The 20987-nt window shown below is 35.3% G+C and overlaps 1 protein-coding gene across 6 annotated transcripts in view; it reads left to right on the forward strand.

Moving 5' to 3' along the window:
• Positions 1 to 20987, forward strand: part of PKN2 (protein kinase N2) — a 151983-nt gene that overhangs the window by 61666 nt on the left and 69330 nt on the right. For all 6 annotated transcript variants that reach the window (XM_047425224.1, NM_006256.4, NM_001320707.2 and 3 more), the window contains one exon: positions 14284 to 14438. In XM_047425224.1, the coding sequence (XP_047281180.1) occupies positions 14284 to 14438 (155 nt within the window). The remainder of the gene's footprint in view (positions 1 to 14283; positions 14439 to 20987) is intronic.

Genomic DNA, 20987 nt, shown 5'->3' on the forward strand with positions numbered 1-20987 from the left:
ATTGATTTTTGACAAAGCTGCCAAGAACACACGGTGGGGACTGGACAGTCTTCAATAAATGGTGTTGGGAAAACTGGATATCGACATGCAGAAGAAGGAAGATGAACCTTTATCTTACCCTTATACGTAATACCTTTATACCTTATACCTTTAAACCTTATACCTTTATACCTTATACCTTTATCTTACCTTATACGTTTATAAGACTTAAATGTCAGTCCTGAAACTATAAAACTGCTAGAAGAAAATATAGAGGGAAAGCTCTATGACATTGGTCTAGGCAGTGATTTCTTGGATAAAAGCAGAGGCAAAAGCAAAAATAGATAGATGGGTTTGCATCAAATTGGAAACTTCTGCACAGCAAAGGAAACAATTAGCAGAGTGAAGAGACAACCCAAAGAATGGGAGAAAATATTTATAAATTATATATTGGATAAGGGGTCAGTAAGGAACTCAAACTACTGAATTCAAGGAAAAGAAATAATCTTATTTAAAAAATGGGCAAAGGACCTGAGTAGACATTTATCAAAAGAAGGCATATAAATGGCCGACAGATAATATGAAAAAAATGATCAGTATCTCTAGCCATCAGAGAAATGCAAATTAAAACCACGATGAGATACCACCTCATGTGTATTAGATTGGCTATTATCAAAAAAATGGAAGGTAAGTGATGGCAAGGATATGGAGAAAAGGGAAGCCTTGTGCATTGTTGGTGGTATTGTAACATTAGTATGGCCACTTTGGAAGACAGTGTGGAGGTTCCTGAGAAAACTAAAAATAGGATTATTTTACAATCCAGCAATTCCTCTTCTGGGTATATATTCAAAGAAATTTAAATCAGCATGTTGAAGAGATGTCTGCACTCCTATGTTCATTCCAGCATTATATAGCCAAGATATCCAAACAACTGAAGTGCCCATCAACAGACAAATGGATTTTTAAAACATGGTATATAAACACAGTGCAATACTATTCAGCCTTAAAGATGTAGGAAATTCTGCCATTTGCAACATGGATGAACCTAGAGGACCTTATGCTAAATGAAATAAACCAGACACAGAAAGACAAATAGCTAATGATCTCACTTATGTGTGGAATCTTAAAAAGACAAATTCATTGACGTAGAAGAGAATGCTGATTACCAGAGGCTTGAACTGGGGAGGGGGAGGATGGGTAAATGGGAAAGAGGAAGTTGTTGGTCACAGGTTAAAAAGTTTTAGTTAGACAGGAGGAATAAGTTCTGTTGATCTATTACACAGCATGGTGACTATAGTTAATAGCAATGTATTGTATATTTCAAAATAGCTAAAAGAAAGGTTGTTAAATCCCACTGCGAAGAAATAAATATTTGAGGTGATAGATACCTTAGCCTAATTTGATCATTCTACAATGTATAAATGTAATGAAACATCACATTATACCCCATAAATATATAATTTGTTTGATTAGAAATAAAAATAGTTTAATGGGGTACTGTTGTCATTCTATGTGGAAATTACAGTGATGGTTAGCTGAGGCTAAATGTACCTTATGAAAAAAGATTACTGATCTCTAAAATGGAGTAGTAATCTAAGCCTTAGTTGGAACCTGACACTCGTTTGAGAAAGATCCGGTTTCCTGAATCTTGGTTTCTTTAAGTATGTCATCACTGAAGAAGACTATAAGAACATTTTTTAATATTTTATTAAGTATAGATAATAATTTGGGTAGTGTATAGTCTCTGTTTTCATTTTATTTCCTTTTCTTGTACCATTCTTATATTTTCAAACCCCACCAAACTTAGATTGGTTTTTACTTATTAATTTGGTGAATATTTTCTTCAATATTTGAAATATTCAGAAGGGAATTACTAATTTAGTAATATAATATACCTAATAATATTGGGATTTTGTGGGGTTAATCTTAGCAAATTCTTCTAAATTCCTAAAATATATCTGTATTGAGGGAACTTTGTTCATGACTAAAGAACAGTTTGTGGTCTTGGATGAATAGAAATGAAGATTTAATTTTCTTTTTTACTATTGCCCTGCCCACTTAAATAGTGTGATCATTAGTAAGTTGCTCTTTTGCACTCCTGGATTTGTTTCCTTGTCTTTAAAATCATGAGATTAAATGTATAGATTCCCTAATACTTGAATTCTTTTTATGATATATTTTCCAAAAAAGTTAATGTGTAGTAAAATTGTATATATATTTTTAGTATACCTTTCCATGAATTTTAAGATGAATTCATCTAACTGCCACCACATTCAGAAAAAGGAATAGTTCCAATGCCCTATACATCTCCCTCATGTTCTTTCTTCGTAGTCACACCCTTCTTCACCTCTATATTCCCTGACAACCACTGACCTGTTCTGTCACTATAGTTCTCTTTTGAAGAATGCCATGTACATAGAATTATAAAGTATATAAGTTTTTGAGAATTTTTTCCCTCCGCATATTGCCTTTGAAATTCCTTCAAGTTGTTGTGTGTATCAGTAGTTCATTTTTTTATTCCTGAGTAATAGTTGATTGTATAAATGTACTATAATTTATCCATTCACAAAGAACGTTAGGGTGGTTTTCCAATTTTTGGCAATTATCAGTAAAGCTCCTATAAATATTCACGTACAGATTTTTGTGTGAATAAAGTTTTCAGTTCACTTTGGTAAATACTGAAGAGTAGGGTTGCTGAGTCATGTGGTAACATATGTTTAACATTATAAGAAGATGGCTGGGCACAGTGGCTCATGTCTAAAATCTCAGCACTTTGGGAGGTGGAGGTGGGGGGATCGTTTGAGCTCAGGAGTTTGAGACCAGCCTGAGCAACATAGTGAAACTTCATCTCCACAAAAAATTTAAAAATTAGCCAAGTATGGTGGTGTGCACCTGTAATCCCAGCTACTTGGGAGGCTGAGGTGGGAGTATTACTTGAGCCTGAGAGTTTGAGGCTACATTGAGCCATGATCATGCCACTCCAGCCTGGGCAGCAGAGCAAGACCTGGTCTTTAAAAAGAAGGAAATAAACTGCCAAATATATTCTAGAGTAGTGATATTTTTCATTCCCACTATCAGTGAATGAGAATTCTAGTTGTTCCACATTCTCTCCAGCACTTGGTATTGTTAATATATTTTATTAACCAGTCTAACAAGTATGTAGTAGTTAATATACATTATTGTCATAGAGGAAATAAAAATAGAGCAGCACCATCTTAAGGAGAATTTACAAAAGAACAGTGCATGCCCTAGGTACAGAGTTATGTACAGAATGAAGAAGTCTTCTCTACTAGGAGATGATAGGTGCAGTTTTCAAACATTAAGATATTTCAGATAGAGGCAGTTCTGCAATTTTTATACCTAGGTTGCTTGTTTTACCTTAAAAATTATTCTAACTCAATCACGTGAACCCAGGAGGTGGAAGTTGCAGTGAGCCGAGATCGAGCCATTGCACTCCAGCCCGGCGACAGTGCGAGACTCCGTCTCAAAAAAAAAAAAAAAAAAATTATTCTAACTCACAGTGTTAACCCTGCCTATTTCTGTAACATATTAAGAAAGCTTAAACCAGAGGTGGTATTAGTTATAAAATATTTACCAAAATTAGTTCAGTTGGTGATATATGACAAGGGCTATCGCAAGTATATAAAATAACCAATTAAGCCTCCTTTAATTATTCAGCATTCATTACAACCTGAGTAGGTTCCAGAGGGCTGTAAAAGGTAAAGTATCTTTCTTTAAGAAAGTTGGACTTTAGGAGAAGTATAAAGTTAACATAATGGTAACACATGGCAAGATTCTGGAGCAGTTTATTTTTAAAATAGTAACTTAGAGACTTATAGGAAGAAGTATGTTAAGAATATAGATAAATAGTAAGCTAGTGATTTTGTATATTAACCTTATTAATTTAGATTTGGCTAAGTTTATTTCAGCTATTAGTATAGTTCCTCTTTAATTGTTTAATGCAGTAAACAGTGTTTCTTAAGCAGATATCCTGGCTATTCAAGTACCACTTTATGAATTTTGGACATAGAGAGCCAGCTTGCTATAAAATAAAGACCAAAGGTTATATCATCTGAGATGTCATTCAGCTGCACTATTAAATGGTTGTGTGGTGTATACCACCTGGAACCTGTCGAGACCTTGGTTTTCTCATTTGTAGAATGAGAGGGACAGACAATATGTACCCTATCTAGGGTGTTTTGTGAACATGGTATTTTGATAGCTTGAGAAAAAGCATGAGGTATCCAAGGCCATCTAAGTTTGAACATGAAACCCCATTTGGATGTAAAATAAAGTCTGAGGAGGCTTTCCTGGGTCTGAGAAGTAAAGACTCAAGAATTAAACCATATTCCTAATCTCCAACACAATCAAGGAATCAGGGTAAGGCTAGACCTTAAGTAGTCAGAAGTCCTCTAAGAAGGATCGGGATTGCTCCTGTGTTCTAGAACTCTGTTTCATCTTGTAAGCCAACTGCTGAGTTGTGGTTTTAGAGAAAATACTAAAAGCACCAGAAACAGCAATCTATTTATTGCTCTACACGTTTTGGGGGAAGCTAACAAATTCAGTATTTACTCCTTATTCTGGCCTTGGGAAATCTTATCCCTAAGGAAATTTTAATCATATCCTATTTTCTGGTGACTTCCAAAGTTGTATCTCCAGCTAGGCTGTGTTTTCTGGGCTTCATCTGATAGTTTATAGCCACCCTTTTGGATATTACCTGGATGTCCTGTTGGCTTTGCCTCTTATCATGTCTAAAATTGAACTCTTCTTTTCTTGGACAGCTATCTCTAAATTTTTCTCTGTGTTTTCTGCCCCGTTAGTGCATGACCCCAGTAATCTATAAGTAAAACCTGACTTTTTAAAACCTTTTTTCCCCACCTTCAACCTTCATTGTAAGTTTGTAAGTCGCCAAGCCTTATAGATTCTACCTCTGATAATAGGTCTCAAATCTGTATCTCTTCTTCATCTTTATTGCCACAGCGTACAAGTTCAGTATTTCTTTAATTCAACGTAAACACTGCTGCCAGCATTTTTTTAAATCTAGAATTCAGATTCAGTGCTGTTAGTTTCTTGATTTAAACTTTTCAATGGATCTTCATTTGCTACAGAATACAGTACAAATTTGTAGCATGGTAGAGATGCCTTTCAAATGGTCTGGCATCTGCCTCTATTATTTCAACTTTTTCTGCTACTAATCCCAGCTCTAATTTTTTTCCCCTATCCCTATGTTTTCTTTTTTTACCTCTCTTTTTACCTCTCTATACTTAGGCACGTGTGTGTGTGTAGATTAGCAGAATCTAGGTGATGGGTATATAGGTGCTCAGTGTAAAATTCAACTTTGCAGTATGTTTGAAAATGTTCATATATACACACATACACTCTGGTATGTGTAGACACACATACATACAGGTACATACAAGGTGTCCCTTTTATATATACATACATTATATATTTACACATACACACACACACACACACACACACACCTGACTCTAACCTCTTTGAGAAGAGGAATTCTGCCACTTGTACACAGGGTTGTCCTTTGCATGATGCTTGGCTGTATATGATATAACTAGTTCCCTGTATTAAGTTCCCTCTGTCCAAAATAACTTGTATAGTTTGTTTGTCAACTAGATTCTTGAATGGCAAATCACCTTTCTATATTATGTAATAAACTTAGAATACTTACATGCTATTGTTGGCCATGTTCTATTTATATCATTTTAGCTTCAATTCCACAAATTAGATCTAAACATTCTATACAGTCATTGTTGGTTTATAATTACCCACATGCTGATCATTTTCTTTGTTCACTATTTCTTCATGCTTCTCAGACCTACCTTCTAGAGTGATCTTTTCTTGTACTTCCTAAAGTACAGTAGATACTTTAGAAAGACGATTTCCCCTTTATATACAATTCTAAGTTGACATCTATTTTCTTTCAGCACTTAGAAACTGTTATTTCGTGGTTGTCTGGATTCTACTCTTGTTGAGGAAACAGCTGCCAGTCTCATGGTTGAAGCCATGTAGATCATCTAGTTTCTTTTAAGATATCCTTTGTCTTCAGTGTTCTGGACTTGGAGTATAATGGCGTAGATTTCGTTTCATTTGATTTGCTTGGGATTTGTTGGGTTTCTTAAATCTGAAATGTATGTATTTCATCAATTATGGGAAATTGTTAGCCTCTGTCCCTTTGAATGTTGTACCTCCTGTTTTCCTTCTACGTAGTTTTTTGGGAACTTTAGATGCATATTAATTTCTTCAAATCTATCTCCATTTCTTGAATAGTTTCTTCACCTGTATCAAACTTACTCTTTATCAAATATTGTGTTTCTAATTTTGTTATTACATTTTTTTAATGCTAGAGCTTCTATTTTGTTAATCCTGGTAATTTTGGATAGTCTTTGTCCCAGTTGATACCCCTTGCATTTAGCTTTACATATTTAACATACTTATTTCACAATCTGTATAGGATAAATACAGTAAGTAAAATCTTTACAAGGCTAGTCCTCTAATTTTTTTCTCATTCATGGTGAATTTTTTTCTGATTGAGCTTTGTGATTTGTAATTGTGCTGGAACTGTCAGTATTAAAATTTCGTGGAATGCAGATTTGCTATATTTTTAAAAAATTTGCCAGTTTTTTCTTTATTTTGTTCCACATAATTGAACACCTACACATTTAGAATTGATGCATATTTCTGGTGAATTGAACCTTCTATTAAAATGAAATGACTTACCTGTAATCTTTCTGTCTTGAAGTATTTTTTGCCTTAAAGTATCTTTTGTCTGTTATTAATATAGGTTGTGGGTTGAGGTTAGTGATTGTGTGGAATACCTTTCTTCCATTTCCTTACTTTCAGCTTTTCTGTATCATGTTTTAAATATGTTTCTTAAAATAGCATATAGTTGGATTTATTTTATTCATTTGTTTTTACCTTGTCTAATAATCTCTTTTACCTGGATCATTTAGCCTATTTAAATGATTACTATTACATTTGGGTTTATATTTAGTATCTTATTTTGTGCCTTTAATGTTTCTTTTTCTTTCTTGTCATTTTTAGACTATTTTTTAAGAATCAATTATTAAAAGTTCGATTGTTTTGGAAATTGATTCATTTAGATAGTACATCATGCATACTTATCAAAGGCAGTAGTCTAATTGCTATTTTTATCTCTCAGACAATTCGAACTCCTTAGAATGCTTTTATTTGCCTACACCCTAGCTTATATTTTACTGTCTTACTAGGCTGGTGCAAAAGTAATTGCAGTTTTTGCCGTTGTAATTATATTTTTTAAAAAGCACTTCATGACTTTTTTATTTGTTTATATAGTGGTCCTTTAAAATCACTGAAATCTAAGCCACTTTATCTGTTCTTCGTTATTTCTTTTTTGACCTACCAATTAGAATCACTTTTCTTCTTCCCAGAGTACATCCTTTCGCATTTTTAAATTTTTAATAAGTCTGTGAAAAACTCTTTCATCTTTGTCTGATAATGTTTTTATTTTGTCTTCATTGTTGAAAGATATTTTCGTTGGATATATACAATCTTTATTAGTCTATTCTCGCACTGCTGTAAAGAAATACCCGAGACTGGGTAATTTATAAAGAAAAGAGCTTTAATTGGCTTATGGTTCCACAGGCTGTACAGGAAACATGATGCTGGCATCTGCTTGGCTTCTGGGGAGGCCTCAGAAAACTTTCAGTCATGGTGGAAGGCGAAAGAGAAGCAAACCCGTCTTACATGGTTGGAGCAGGAGCGAGAGAGAGAGTGGGAGGGGCTACACACTTTTAAACAACCAGATCTCACTATTGTGAGAACAGCACCAAGGGGATGGTACTAAACCGCTCATTAAAGACCCACACCCATGATCCAGTCACCTCCCGCCAGGCCTCATGTTCAACACTGGGGAACTTAGTTTGACATGAGATTGGGGCAGGGACACAGATCCAAACCATATCGCAATTTAAGGAGGCAGTTGTGTCTTTTAACATAAAGTAGCTGTCATTTCACCTTCTTCCAGCTTTCAGTGTTGTTGCTGAAAACTGCCATAAATTTAACTGTAATTCCTTTGAAGGTACCCTTTTCTGACTGCTGTGAAGACTGTCTTTGATGTTCTGAAGTTTTACCATGATGTGTCCAAGTGTGGACTTTTTTCCCCTATATGTTTATGCTTGGGGTTGATTGGGTATCTTGAATCTATGGATTGGCATTTTTATTAGTTCTTAAAAGATGATAGTCATTATCTCTTTATGTATTGTCTTCAAATCACTATTTTCTTCCGAAACACCGTAAGATATATTGGAGCTTATTTTTTTTTCTCTGTGTCTTTTTATGTCGCATTTTTCCTCTCTTTCTCTTTTTAAAAAACTTAGCTATTTTTCAGTATTAATCTGCTATTTTTCTGTGTCTGGTCTGCTATTAAACTCAGTCTAAGAACAAATCTTAGCACTCAAGATGCTTATAGTCGCAGAGGAAAAACAGATGTGAAAACAGATCATTATAATACAGTGTAGTACACATTTCAGTGGAGGGACGAAAGTATACTTTGAAGACATGTTAGACTAGAGAATGGTTAGGGAAGGTTTTCTGGAGAAAGTAATGCCTAAACTAACAATAGTATTGAAGAAAACAATCGCATTTTATTAGAAAGGTTTTGAACACAGAATTTGACAAGGAAAAATAGTAGTGGAGAATTAGCTTGGAGCTAGATAGCACAAGACCTTTAATGCCTAACCGTGAAGTTGGGACTGTATTTGGTAGATGTGGCTATTAAAAATATTTTGGTGGAGGAATTAGTCTTGTCTGCGTTCCATCTTAAAGCACAACAATTTATATTGGCTAAATGTATGTAAAGATGCAACTTTATGGGCTTAACTCTAGTGCATTGTCTACTGTAACCCAGACATGCCTAAAATCTCTTTGATCTAAAATGTAAACATTAAAGCAAGTTTATTGAATTTGTATAACATACATTTTGAATTGTATAATAATGTTTAGAAGGTTAGAAGCAAGCATAATTTCTTATAATACCCCCGAAAATACTTTTTCAGTAATATTAGCAATATATGCAGCAAATGGAAATTTGTTTTTTGTTGTAATCATGGGGTTTAGTTTCTTTAGCCAGCAAAGTATGTATTTAAGAGTAGATTCACCTCTTTTTGTAATGTAAAGGCAGTTGTTAGAGTAGAAAAATAATTACCATTTTACAGAGTTTTTAAAAAATTTTTTGAATGGTGAGAGTATTAATGGGGAGTAGGGAGTTCTAGTTTTCCTTGTTTTGAAATATGTTTCACTATGAGAAAGAGTTTAAGAAATATACTGGCAACTGTATGTTTTATAATGCTCAAATTTAACGTACAAGGAAGAAAATTGGAGAGAAGAAAAGCAGTGTGTAGGAAGGCAGGTTAAAGAGGAAAATAGATGAAATGCAAGGATGACAGCAGTGTTTCTCTGATTTCTAATTGGGGAAAAAAAGTGAACTTTATAAAGTTTACTTTATATAAGACATTTAAGGTTAAATTTCTGCATAGGTGTACACTTTTGTGACCTTTGCAATAAATTCTCTAAGTTTCAGATTTTTTTATTTGTAAAATGAAGTTACATTGCAAACCTTTATGACTTCTTGTGAAGATTAAATGAGCAGAAATACTGGCTACTTAGCTGAGCCCTGACTTGTAATATTATTGAGCCCTTATTACATTTTAAGCATCGACCTGAGCACTATATAGGCTTTATTTTTACAGTAACCGTCAATTTGTGGCTAAGGAAACTGTAGCACAGAGATGTTAAGTAAGTATATAATCAAGACCATACCAATGAGTAGCAACCACAGGATTTTAACCCAGGCATTCTGACCTCAGAGCCCTGGTTCTTAACCATTTTCTTATTTCTTATATTCCTGTAATTGTTATTAAAACTGAGGACATACTTTTCCTTAAGAACAGTGTTATGTAGTATTTTTACAAATTCACAAACTATCAGATCAATTGGTATATCTTTTTTTTTTTTTTTGAGATGGAGTCTCGCTCTGTCACCAGGCTGGAGTTCAGTGGCGCAATCTCCGCTCACAGCAACCTCCACCTCCTGGGTTCAAGCAATTCTCCTGCTCAGCCTCCCTAGTATCTGGGACTACAGACGTGTGCCACCACACCCAGCTAATTTTTGTATTTTTAGTAGAGACGGGGTTTCACCATGTTGGCCAGGATGGTCTTGATCTCCACCTGCCTCGGCCTCCCAAAGTGCTGGGATTACAGGTGTAAGCCACCATGCCCGGCCGGATATTTCAATATCTTAGTACAACCTGCTGTAATGTTTAAGAATCTATTATATAGTATCTCTAACAAATTGTAATCTTTTTGTATAAGTGCTTCCAGAGATGAGACTTTATTGCATTTTAAGACAAGCCATTTTATTGTTAGATAACCCAAAACATAAGGAATTTATGTTGCGACAAAATTTTTGCCCTACCTACCTTTTTACTCATTGGTTCTAATTCTCTGTCTTGTGGGGAAATAGTAAGTGGACAGCTTTCATAGACAAATATTTAAATGTTTAGACAGGAATCATTTATCCTTCTCATCCTAGGCTAAATACACCATCAACTGTTTTACAGACAACACATTTTCATACTCTTCTCAACTAGGGGCCTTCTATTCTGAATGCATTCCAGTTCTGTAAAAAATGTGCTTACTATAAGCTATCTTTATATACCAAATTCTGTGTAATTTACACTTCTTACAAGATTCTGATATCATTTATCCAAAAAGAGAAAAGAAAGAAAATTAAAATGTTCCCAGATCTGAACTGTTCAGTCATTGTTATAATGCGTAGTTCAATTATGGACTTAACGGAGATACACTTTCTACAGTGGGTACTGCTGGTTAATATTTATTGCATATTTACTATGTACCACACCTGTTTCTAAGCTCTGTACACATAATTTATTTAATCTTCACTATAATCCTGTGAGGTACATGATGTTTTCACTATTTAACACATGAAGAAAATAAGGCACAGAGCTGTGAAGTACCTTACCCTGTATTACATGGTTTGTACTGAATCTCAGTACCAAAACTGAGACTCAAACCTGGGCAGCCTCAACCACTATACTAGATATATACTAAGTTGCTCTTTTGTGATTTGATTTGAAAACTTACCTACATTTTATATCAGTTTTTTGGAGCAGCCCATTTGTAATTTGGGGAATTCAGTTAGAATAGAAACCTTTCCTGAATTGAACTCAGTTAATTGTGTGGCTTTGCCTGTTTCCTGATATGTAAAGTATGGATAATATCTGTCTCAAAAGGTTATTTTAAGGATTTATATGCACACATACATGTGTTTGCGCAGATATCATTAACTAAAGCACTATTATTTTACATCCTAGCCTAGTATCTCTATTATTTATTTATTTATCTATTTATTTTAGAAACAGTGTCTGACTTGGTTGCCCAGGCTGGTCTCAAACTCCTGGCCTTAAGTGATTCTGCTGCCTCAGCCTTAATATCTATATTTTTAGATTAATTAACAAATTATAATTGCATGTGTTGAATTAGTGAATTTTTTAAAGGGAATATAAAACAATATGAAATACATTCATTAAAATGGTTAGTCACACCATCTTATATTGTAGAGGAGTGAAGGGAACATTGAAGCACAAAGGTAAAGTAACTTGCAGTTTAGGCAGTTTTCCAGTCATGACCAAGTTACTTATCACCTGAACCAGGGTAGTACCCTAGTCTTTAGCTTTTATAGAAGTAAAGGGACCTGGTGTGGATAAAAATACAAAACACTAAACTTAAAATATGAAGAATTTTAGATTCAAGGTAAGTGTTCCAACAGGCTGGGCGTGGTGGCTCACACCTGTAATCCCAGCACTTTGGGAGGCTGAGGTAGGTGGATCATGAGGTCAGAAGTTCAAGACTAGCCTGGCCAAGATGGTGAAACCCCGTCTCTACTAAAAATACAAAAAATTAGCCGGGCGTGGTGGCAGGCGCCTGTAACACTAGCTACTCGGGAGGCTGAGGCAGAGAATTGCTTGAACCCAGGAGGCGGAGGTTGCAGTGAGCCGAAATCACACCACTGCACTACAACCTGGGCGACAGAGTGAGACTATCTCAAAAAAAAAAAAAAAAAAAAAAAAAGAAGTGTTTCAATAATAATGGATTATCCGGAATAACTAGATGGTTCTTTCTGAAGTTTTATTTATTTATTTTTGCAAAATGAAAATTATTTACTTGGAAAATGATAATTTTCAAAATCTGCAGGCATTGATTTATAAATGATTTATGTATTAATAGTTCCCATTTTTATTTTACTCTAGGACAAATTTATTTCCATGAAATTCATCTTTAAATGGCACATGTTTTGAATTTTTAGGGACTTTACTAACACAGATTTTGAAAATATTCCCATTCCTAAAATCATAGAAACCTATAAAACAACATATTATGCTTTTTTTTTAACTTTTATTTTAAGTTTAAGGGTACCTGTGAAGATTTGTTATATAAGTAAACTTGTGTCTTGGGGTTTTATTATACAGATTATTTTGTCACCCAGGTATTAAGCCTAGTACTCCATAGTTGTTTTTCATGTTCCTCTCCCTCCTCCCACCCTCCACACTCCAATAGGCCCCCAGTGACTGTTGTTCTCCTCTATGTGTCCATGTGTTCCCATCATTTAGCTCCCACTTATAAGAAAGAACATGTGGTATTTGGTTTTGTGTTCCTGCATTAGTTTGCTAAGGATAATAGCCTCCAGCTCCATCCATGTTCCTGCAGAGGACATGATCTCTCTTTTTTTAATGGCTGCATAATATTCCATGGTGTGTGTGTGTGTGTATCACATTTTCTTTATTCAGTCTGTCATTGCTGGGCATTTAGGTTGATTCCATGTCTTTGCTATTGTGAATAGTACTACAATGAATATACACATGTATGTGTCTTTATGACAGAACGATTTATATTGCTTTGGGTATATACCCAGTAATGGGATTGCTGGGTCGAACGGTATTTCTGTCTTTTGGTCTTTGCGGAATCTCCACACTGTCTTCCACAATGGTTGAACTAATTTACACTCCCACCAACAGTGTATAAGCATTGCTTTTTCCCTGCATTCTCGCTAGCCTCTGTTATTTTTTGACTTTTTAATAATAGCCATTCTGAGCCAGGTGCAGTGGCTTACGCCTGTAATCCCAGCACTTTGGGAGGCCAAGGCGGGCAGATCACGAGGTCAGGAGTTCGAGAGCAGCCTGACCAACATGGTGAAACTCCGCCTGTACTAAAAATACAAAAATTAGCCAGGCATGGTGGCGTATGCCTGTAATCCCAGCTATTCAGGAGGCTGAGGCAGGAGAATCGCTTGAACCTGGGAGGCAGAGGTTGCAGTGAGCCAAGATGGCGCCACTGCACTCCAGGCTGGGTGACAGAGCAAGACTCTGTCTCAGAAAGAAAAGCCATTCTGACTGGTGTCAGATAGTATCTCATTGTGATTATGATTTGCATTTCTCTAATGACCAGTGATGTTGAGCTTTTTTTAATGTGCATGTTGGCCACATGTATGTCTTTTCAAAAGTATCTGTTCATGTCCTTTGCCCACTTTTCAGTGGGGTTATTTTTTCCTTGTTAAGTTCATCATGGATGCTGATATTAGACCTTTGTCAGATGTGTAGTTTGTGCACATATTTTACTCCCATTCTGTAGGTTGTCTGTTTACTCTGTTGATAGTTTCTTTTGCTATGTAGAACCTCTTTAATTTAATTAGATCCCATTTGTCAATTTTTACTTTTGTTGCAATTGCTTCAGAGAATATTAGGAACACCTCTGTGCATATAAACTAGAAAATCTAGAAGAAATGGATGAATTCCTGGACACATACAACCTCCCAAGACTGAGCCAGGAAGAAATAGAACCCCTGAACTGACCAAAAACAAGCTCCAAAATTGAATAGCCTACCAACCAAAAAAGCCCAGAACCAGAGGGGTTCATAGCCAAATTCTACCAGATGTGCAAAAATAGTGTTGGAGAAACCACGGACAATCATCTAACTGAGTTTCAGACTTAATATAATCACTTTTATATTTTAAGTGGAATCTACCCTGGGAAGTAGTCTTGCAACTCAGATACGTGTTTTTTTTTTTTTTGCATGAATTGGTTGAATTCATGGATTATCTATAAGTATAAGGAGATTTCATTTAGGCTCATCTCAAAGTTTGAAAAATGCTGTTTATTTGAAAAATATTAACTTCCAATTTTAAGCAGCAATTCATTCTAATAAGTAATTTTAACAATATTTTATTTACAGATTGCCCAAGGACTCCAGATACTCCAAATAATGACCCTCGTTGTTCTACTAGCAACAATAGATTGAAGGCCTTACAAAAACAATTGGATATAGAACTTAAAGTAAAACAAGGTGCAGAGAATATGATACAGATGTATTCAAATGGATCTTCAAAGGTAAGTGTAGTTAATAAATGTAACTATATAGTCAGTCATTATTTGCAGATTCCATAGTTATAAATTTACCTATTCAATAAAATTTATTAGTAACTCCAACATCAGTACTGGTGGCATGGCACTTTGGCAGTCATTTGTGTACATGCATGGAGCAGGGGAAATTTGAATTATATGACATGCTTGTTTCCAGCTGAGTTCGAACAAGGTGATTTTGCCTTCTTAAGCTATGGTACACTAAAAAGTATCCTTTTTCAGATATATTTAGTGCTGTTTTTTTTCACATTTTTGTGCTTTTAATTGGTAATTTCACTGTTTAAACACTATATTGTGACATCTGAAATCATTTTGACCTCAGAATTTGAAAGAATGGATAAAAGAATTTGGAAACATGTTTTTCTTTGTTGTTGTTTTTTTTGTTTTTTTAGGTAACATTTTAAAAATTGTTTATTCCTACCAAGACCCAGTTAATAAAAAATTTTACCTTATGGGTAAAGGATACACAGGAGCTTTCCATATCTGCAACTTTTCCGTAAATCTAAAATTATTTAAAAAGAAATTATCTAAAAGAATTTAGTCTGTAATGAATTTTCCACATTATAGACCACTCTCCCAAGTGTTTGGGAGAGGGCCAATGAAAAGATGGGACATTTTGGCGTCATCAATAATTGCTTGGCCTAGACCTGTGCATTCTTGGAGATCTGGTATGGGCATATAACTCCTAACTGAAAATCAGTGTTATGGGGAGCAATTCTTAGTAATAAGAACATGTCCTTGTTGTTAGGTATAATGCAGCAAAAAAAATGTTGTGAGCCGCTGAACCAGATTATCCTCAAGGTTCTCTTCAGCCTAAGGTTCTATAGTTTTAATAATTTCCAGAAATTCTGAGAAAGATATAAAGTTATAAAATGTACCTTTGTACTTTCAACTCATGTATTTTAAATATTTTTATCTCTGGAAATCAATTTTTTTATTTTAGTAGATATTTTTTAAATAATTTCTTAATAAAAGTTCTTACATATTTCTTTTTTTGTTTCAGTTTAGAAAGAATTTGAAATCAGAGGGAAATATTTTTTTTCTTAATCATGCATCCTAACTACTCACCCCAAATGAAATTTGAGACTAGGCCTGGTGGCTCACACCTGTATACCTAGAACTCTGGGAGGCTGAGGCAGGAGGATTCCTTGAGGCCAGGAGTTCGAAACCAGCCTGGTCAATATAGCAAGACCCTGTCTCTTTAAAAAAAAAAAAAAAAAAAAAAGACATTAGGGAAGTTACCAAAAAGAGAGAAATGTGTACTGTCTATAAATGTTTTAAGGTTAATTATGAACATTAGATTTTATGTTATATTTCAAAAGAATTTTTTGTTACTTTTAGAGAAATGTATTTGTTCCTATTTACTTATGATGTGATATTTGATAGGATATTATTTCACTAACTTTGAACATTTGTTATTGGATGATAGAGTTATTTTTTGTGCTGTTATTTTTAGCACTGACATTTAGTTTTGGGGATTTTATATTTTTATAAAATGTTATTTTGACCTTTTTTTTAAGTAAATACTTTGTTCCTGGAACTGCGATTTTAGCACATTATACTGAGCATTTTTAAATTAAATTAACCCAGCTACTGCCCTGTAGAGTAAAGTTTTTAAATCTGGGGTGGATGGATTAGTTTGAGGGGTTTATGAACCCTTTGAAGTTATAGGAAAAGCAAGTGTGTATGTTGATAGTTGTATGGATGAAAGGGCTGTAGGTTACACCTTATTCTCAAAGTGGTCTTTAATCCACAAAAGATTACGAACCACTGCTCTAAGTTGAACAGAGTTATGGACATATTAAAAGTAAAACAAATAGATAACCTAAAACAACCACAGATCCAAAGTGAACAAGGCTGTGAGCATCCTGTTAAAACAAATATGTCAATTTTGCATAGCTTTTTATTTTTAATTAGATTTATTAATTTGAGGAAGACTCAAATGGAGGTCGAAAGCCTATTTGCAACTACTATTGCCTCTGAGATAGGCCTGCCAGTTATTTCTGTCTAGATTCCACCTTAACTGTTTTTATTTTTCATCTTTAAACTTCTCAGAGGGTCAGAGTACATCGTTTTAGATTAGGGAAAATTATAAATTGAAATTATGTGGAATATTAATTTATTCATTAAGGATTTTGTTAAAAGTTTGATAGCCATTATGCTCGGCTCTGGGGTGTAAGTGTAATAAAGATGGTGCCTTATTACATAGCAGGTACTCAATATATAATATCCTGCTTTTAAGAGACCCACTATCTTAAAAGGAGATATATCACATGTAAATAGTTAAAGTGTGTAATAGTGATTTGTTTGACTGACTTTGGAAGCACAATGGAGAATAATCATTTAACTGCCAATAAAATCTTTTAAGTTTTAGTACGATATTTGAAAAATGATTTGGCATTTAATAAAAAATTACTTTTTAGGGATGGTGTTGTGGGTGAATGCAGTATATACACAGTAAGGAACTGTGGAATAGCCTGGCTTGTTCTGAGGAATGAAAGTGATTTGGTGTGGCTATAGTACAAGTTCTTAGTGTATTTCTTACCTGACATATCTGAGGGTAGGTAGAATGTACTTCTGATAGTAAGAGTTGTCAACTCTAGTAGTCATTTTCAATTAAAAGCCATAGGGAAACAAATCTGAATCTCCAGAAAGACATTCATTTTGTTTGGGAAAAGTTCTCCAGGTGATTCCAGTAGGGCTTCTTTCCCTTCCCCACCAGTGGAGTTTTAAGTGGGTGAGGCATATTGAGAGGTATAACATAACTGAAAGACAAGCCAGGTTATATGGTATTTGCACAGAATTAAGCAGTTGTGATTACCTTAAAAGATAGATGGAGCTGCTGAAAGCAGGGAGCTCCTTTTCGCAGGGAAAAGACACAATGAGATTTCAAGTTTAGAAAGTTCACATCCATCCGGCCACATGTGGTGACTCACGCCTGTAATCCCAGCACTTTGGAAGGCCGAGGCAGGTGGATCAGCTGAGGTCGGGAGTTAGAGACCAGCCTGACCAACATGGAGAAATCCTGTCTCTACTAAAAATACAAAATTAGCTGGGCATGGTGGTGCATGCCTGTAATCCCAGCTACTTGGGAGACTGAGGCAAGAGAATCACTTGAACCTGGGAGGCAGAGGTTGTGGTGAGCCAAGATCGTGCCATTGCACTCCAGCCTGGGCAACAAAAGCAAAACTCCATCTCAAAAAAAAAAAAAAAAAAAGAAAGTTCACATCCATCCTCCTCAGACTTAAAGAATTAAAGAAGGTCATTTATGCAAGCAGTAAGTTTAAGTAGTTTTTTGCAGTAGTCCAGGTTAAATAGCTTCCTTTCTCTTGTAACAGCAGTGAAAACAGTGAAGATAAGAGTCATACTTTTGGTATCTTGGATATGAGGAAGGAGGCAGAGTCAAAGATTATTCTTAGATCGGTTATGTGGATAGACTGATGAATTATGGTGCCCTTTATAATGATAGAGAATTCATGAGGGGGAGCAAATTTAGGGACAGGGATGATTAATTCAGTTTGGCAGTAAAAATTGCCAACAGAACTCTGCTTATTGGATTCTACATGATTAAATTATTACCCTTGTGCATGTTGTAATCAGAGCTGTCCTTTTTAAATTTTTCAGATATTTTCACCCTCCTGCTTCAAAACCCTCCAATGGTTTTCCCTCATACTTAGGACAAAATCCAAAATTCTTATTCTGACTCTGGAAATCTATAGCTTCTGATCTCATCTTCTAAAACACCTTCCTCTCTCATTACACTCTAGCTACTCTAGCTTCTTTTCTATCCCTTAAACATAGCAAGCACACTCTTACCTCAGGGCTTTTGCACTTGCTATATCTTTGCCTAGGTATCTATTCTCCCAAGTACTTTTGTGGCTTTCTCATTCATTAAGTCATCTACTTGGATGCTACCACCTCAGCAAGCTCTTCACTACTATCCTAAGATAAATAGCAACCTCTGTCTCTTCTTAACCCTTCATTGCATTACCACCACCTTAAATTACAATTTATGTGATCAATTTATCATCAGTTTTCAGCATTAGAATATAAATTTCATGCAGGCAGAGACATTATCTTGGTTATCACCCTATCTTCAATACCTGAAACAATACTCCATTGAAATAGTTTGCTACAAATACTCAATAAGTATCTGTTAAAACAATGGATACCGCTTCGCTGCCCATTTGTGGCCGTTTATCTTCCTCTGGCCCATAATTTACACATTGTTCTTTTTCTTATTTCATACCTGTGTGTACTATAATTATTTTCATATTATCCCTTTTATGACTAACTATTTTTATTGTCAGCACAAGGATCTGAGGAATGGGATGCAGTTATTTTACCCCGTTACATAAGTAGTATAGCTTGCCATTTCTTTATTTGGTAGTGTGGCTTTAAGCAGCATCATTGGTTGTGTTTGTTTTTGTTTTGTCCTTTGGAATGATCTCTGGGGGCTTGATAAGACATGTTAAAGACATGCCTCCTGTTTTTTGTTGTTATTGTTGTTTTGTTTTGTTTTGTTTTGTTTTTGAGACAGAGTCTCGCTCTGTCGCCTAGGCTCAAGTGCAGTGGCGCAATTGGCTCACTGCAACCTCTGCCTCCCAAATTCAAGCGATTCTTCTGCCTCAGCCTGCCTCCTGTGTAGCTGGAATTAAAGGTGCACACCACTATGCCTGGCTACTTTTTTTGTATTGCTAGTAGAGATGGGGTTTCGCCATGTTGGCCAGGCTGGTCTTGAGCTCCTGACCTCAAGTGATCCGCCCGCCTGGCCCTCCCAAAGTGCTAGGATTACAGGCGTGAGCTACCGTGCCCAGCCTTGTCTCCTGTTTATAGAATCACTTGAACCCAGGAGTTTTTGAGACTTCATCTCAAAAAAAAAAAAAAAGACATGTCTCCTGTTTATATATTCAGGCAGTAAACCAAGGTATTAATTAAAATTTGGGGTTCTTACTAGCATCTTGCATCGGTTTTAAGTGTTTCCCAAGCCTCCACATATGGATATACCAGACTGTCCATCCAGGTCCCTCCAACCGCCAATCCTCCAGTATTGCCTGTTTAAGCTTTGAGATCTAATTGATATAGAAAAAAGTTGCACATATTTAGTTATACATTTCAATTAATTTGTATGTTTCTATACATATGTATGCATGTGTGATACCACCACGACAATCAAGTTACTTCCAAAAGTACCCTTGAGTTCTTTAGTGGAAGTGGTTAAGTTGTTGTTGTAGTGGAAGTGGTGTTGTTGTTGTTGTTGTCGTCGTCGTCGTTATAAAAGCACTTAACATGAGAAATTCTCCAGTCTTGACATATTCCAGACTTATTTATTATAATGACTCGGGAAACCTTTCTGGATTCCCTTAACTAAAATTGATTCCACTTTTTTGTTTGTTTGTTTTTGGAGACAGGGTCTCACTCTGTCGCCCAGGTTGTCACCCAGGCTGGAGTGCAGTGGTGTAATCTTGGCTCACTCACTGCAGCCTCCACCTCCCAGGTTCAAGTGATTCTCGTGCCTCAGCCTCCTGAGTAGCTGGGATTACAGGTGGGCACCACCATGCCTGGGTAATTTTTTGTATTTTTGGTAGAGGCAGGGTTTCACCGTGTTGGCTGGGCTGGTCTCGAACTCCTGACCTTAGATGATCCCCCAGCCTTGGCCTCCCAAAGTGCTGGGATTACAGGCATGAGCCACCATCCCTGGCCTGATTCCACATTTCTTTGGAATTTTCTTCAGCTACTTTTAACTTCCTAGTGCATATAATAATCATCTATATGTCTTCTAGCAAATTATAAGCTTCATAGGATAACATTCTGATTGATTAATATTTGTGTTTTCACTGGGTCTGGCATGTAATTTATGGCTTACTTCCTATATGTTACTTTAACATAAATACATGATGAAAAAAATAAGAATGACTGGCCTATTTATTACCTAGATGGTACTAATAAGAACAATGATTGGCTTATTTGAAAGTTTTCTGTGTGATGTAATGTGTTGTAATGTCCCACTATAGCTTGCAAAACAGTGTTATTTTTTTGTAAAATAAAAAACATAATTTGAAAGTCGTATAATTTTTTAGTTATTCTTATAATTGTAAAATATTTATTCCAAATACAATTACCAGCATTATAGAGTGCCAATTACTAATAGTTCATTACTTTAGTGTGTTAGGTTGAGCCATATAAAATTGCTGTTTTTTTAGTTCAAAATCAGACACTGGCATTTTCATGTAGTTCTACCTAAGGTATGTAAAAACTTTCCCAAAATTTGTATTAACATAAAAGTCAGATTTCTCCAATATGTAAACCAGTCCGTGTACTCCAGCCTTATCTCTTCCCTTGTACATATTATGTGCTTAATAAAAATTCCATTGAATGCCTGAAAACATAAAACTGATATGTAATAACTGTATATTGCCTGTGATAGATAATATCCAAAATCCATTTTAAAAGTTTCATCATACTTTGACATCCTGCAGATCCTCCAGAAATTTCTGTGGGAAAATTCACCTATTT

This window comes from Homo sapiens, chromosome 1 (genome assembly GCF_000001405.40).
Source record: "Homo sapiens chromosome 1, GRCh38.p14 Primary Assembly".
In the NCBI taxonomy this organism is placed as follows: domain Eukaryota; kingdom Metazoa; phylum Chordata; class Mammalia; order Primates; family Hominidae; genus Homo; species Homo sapiens.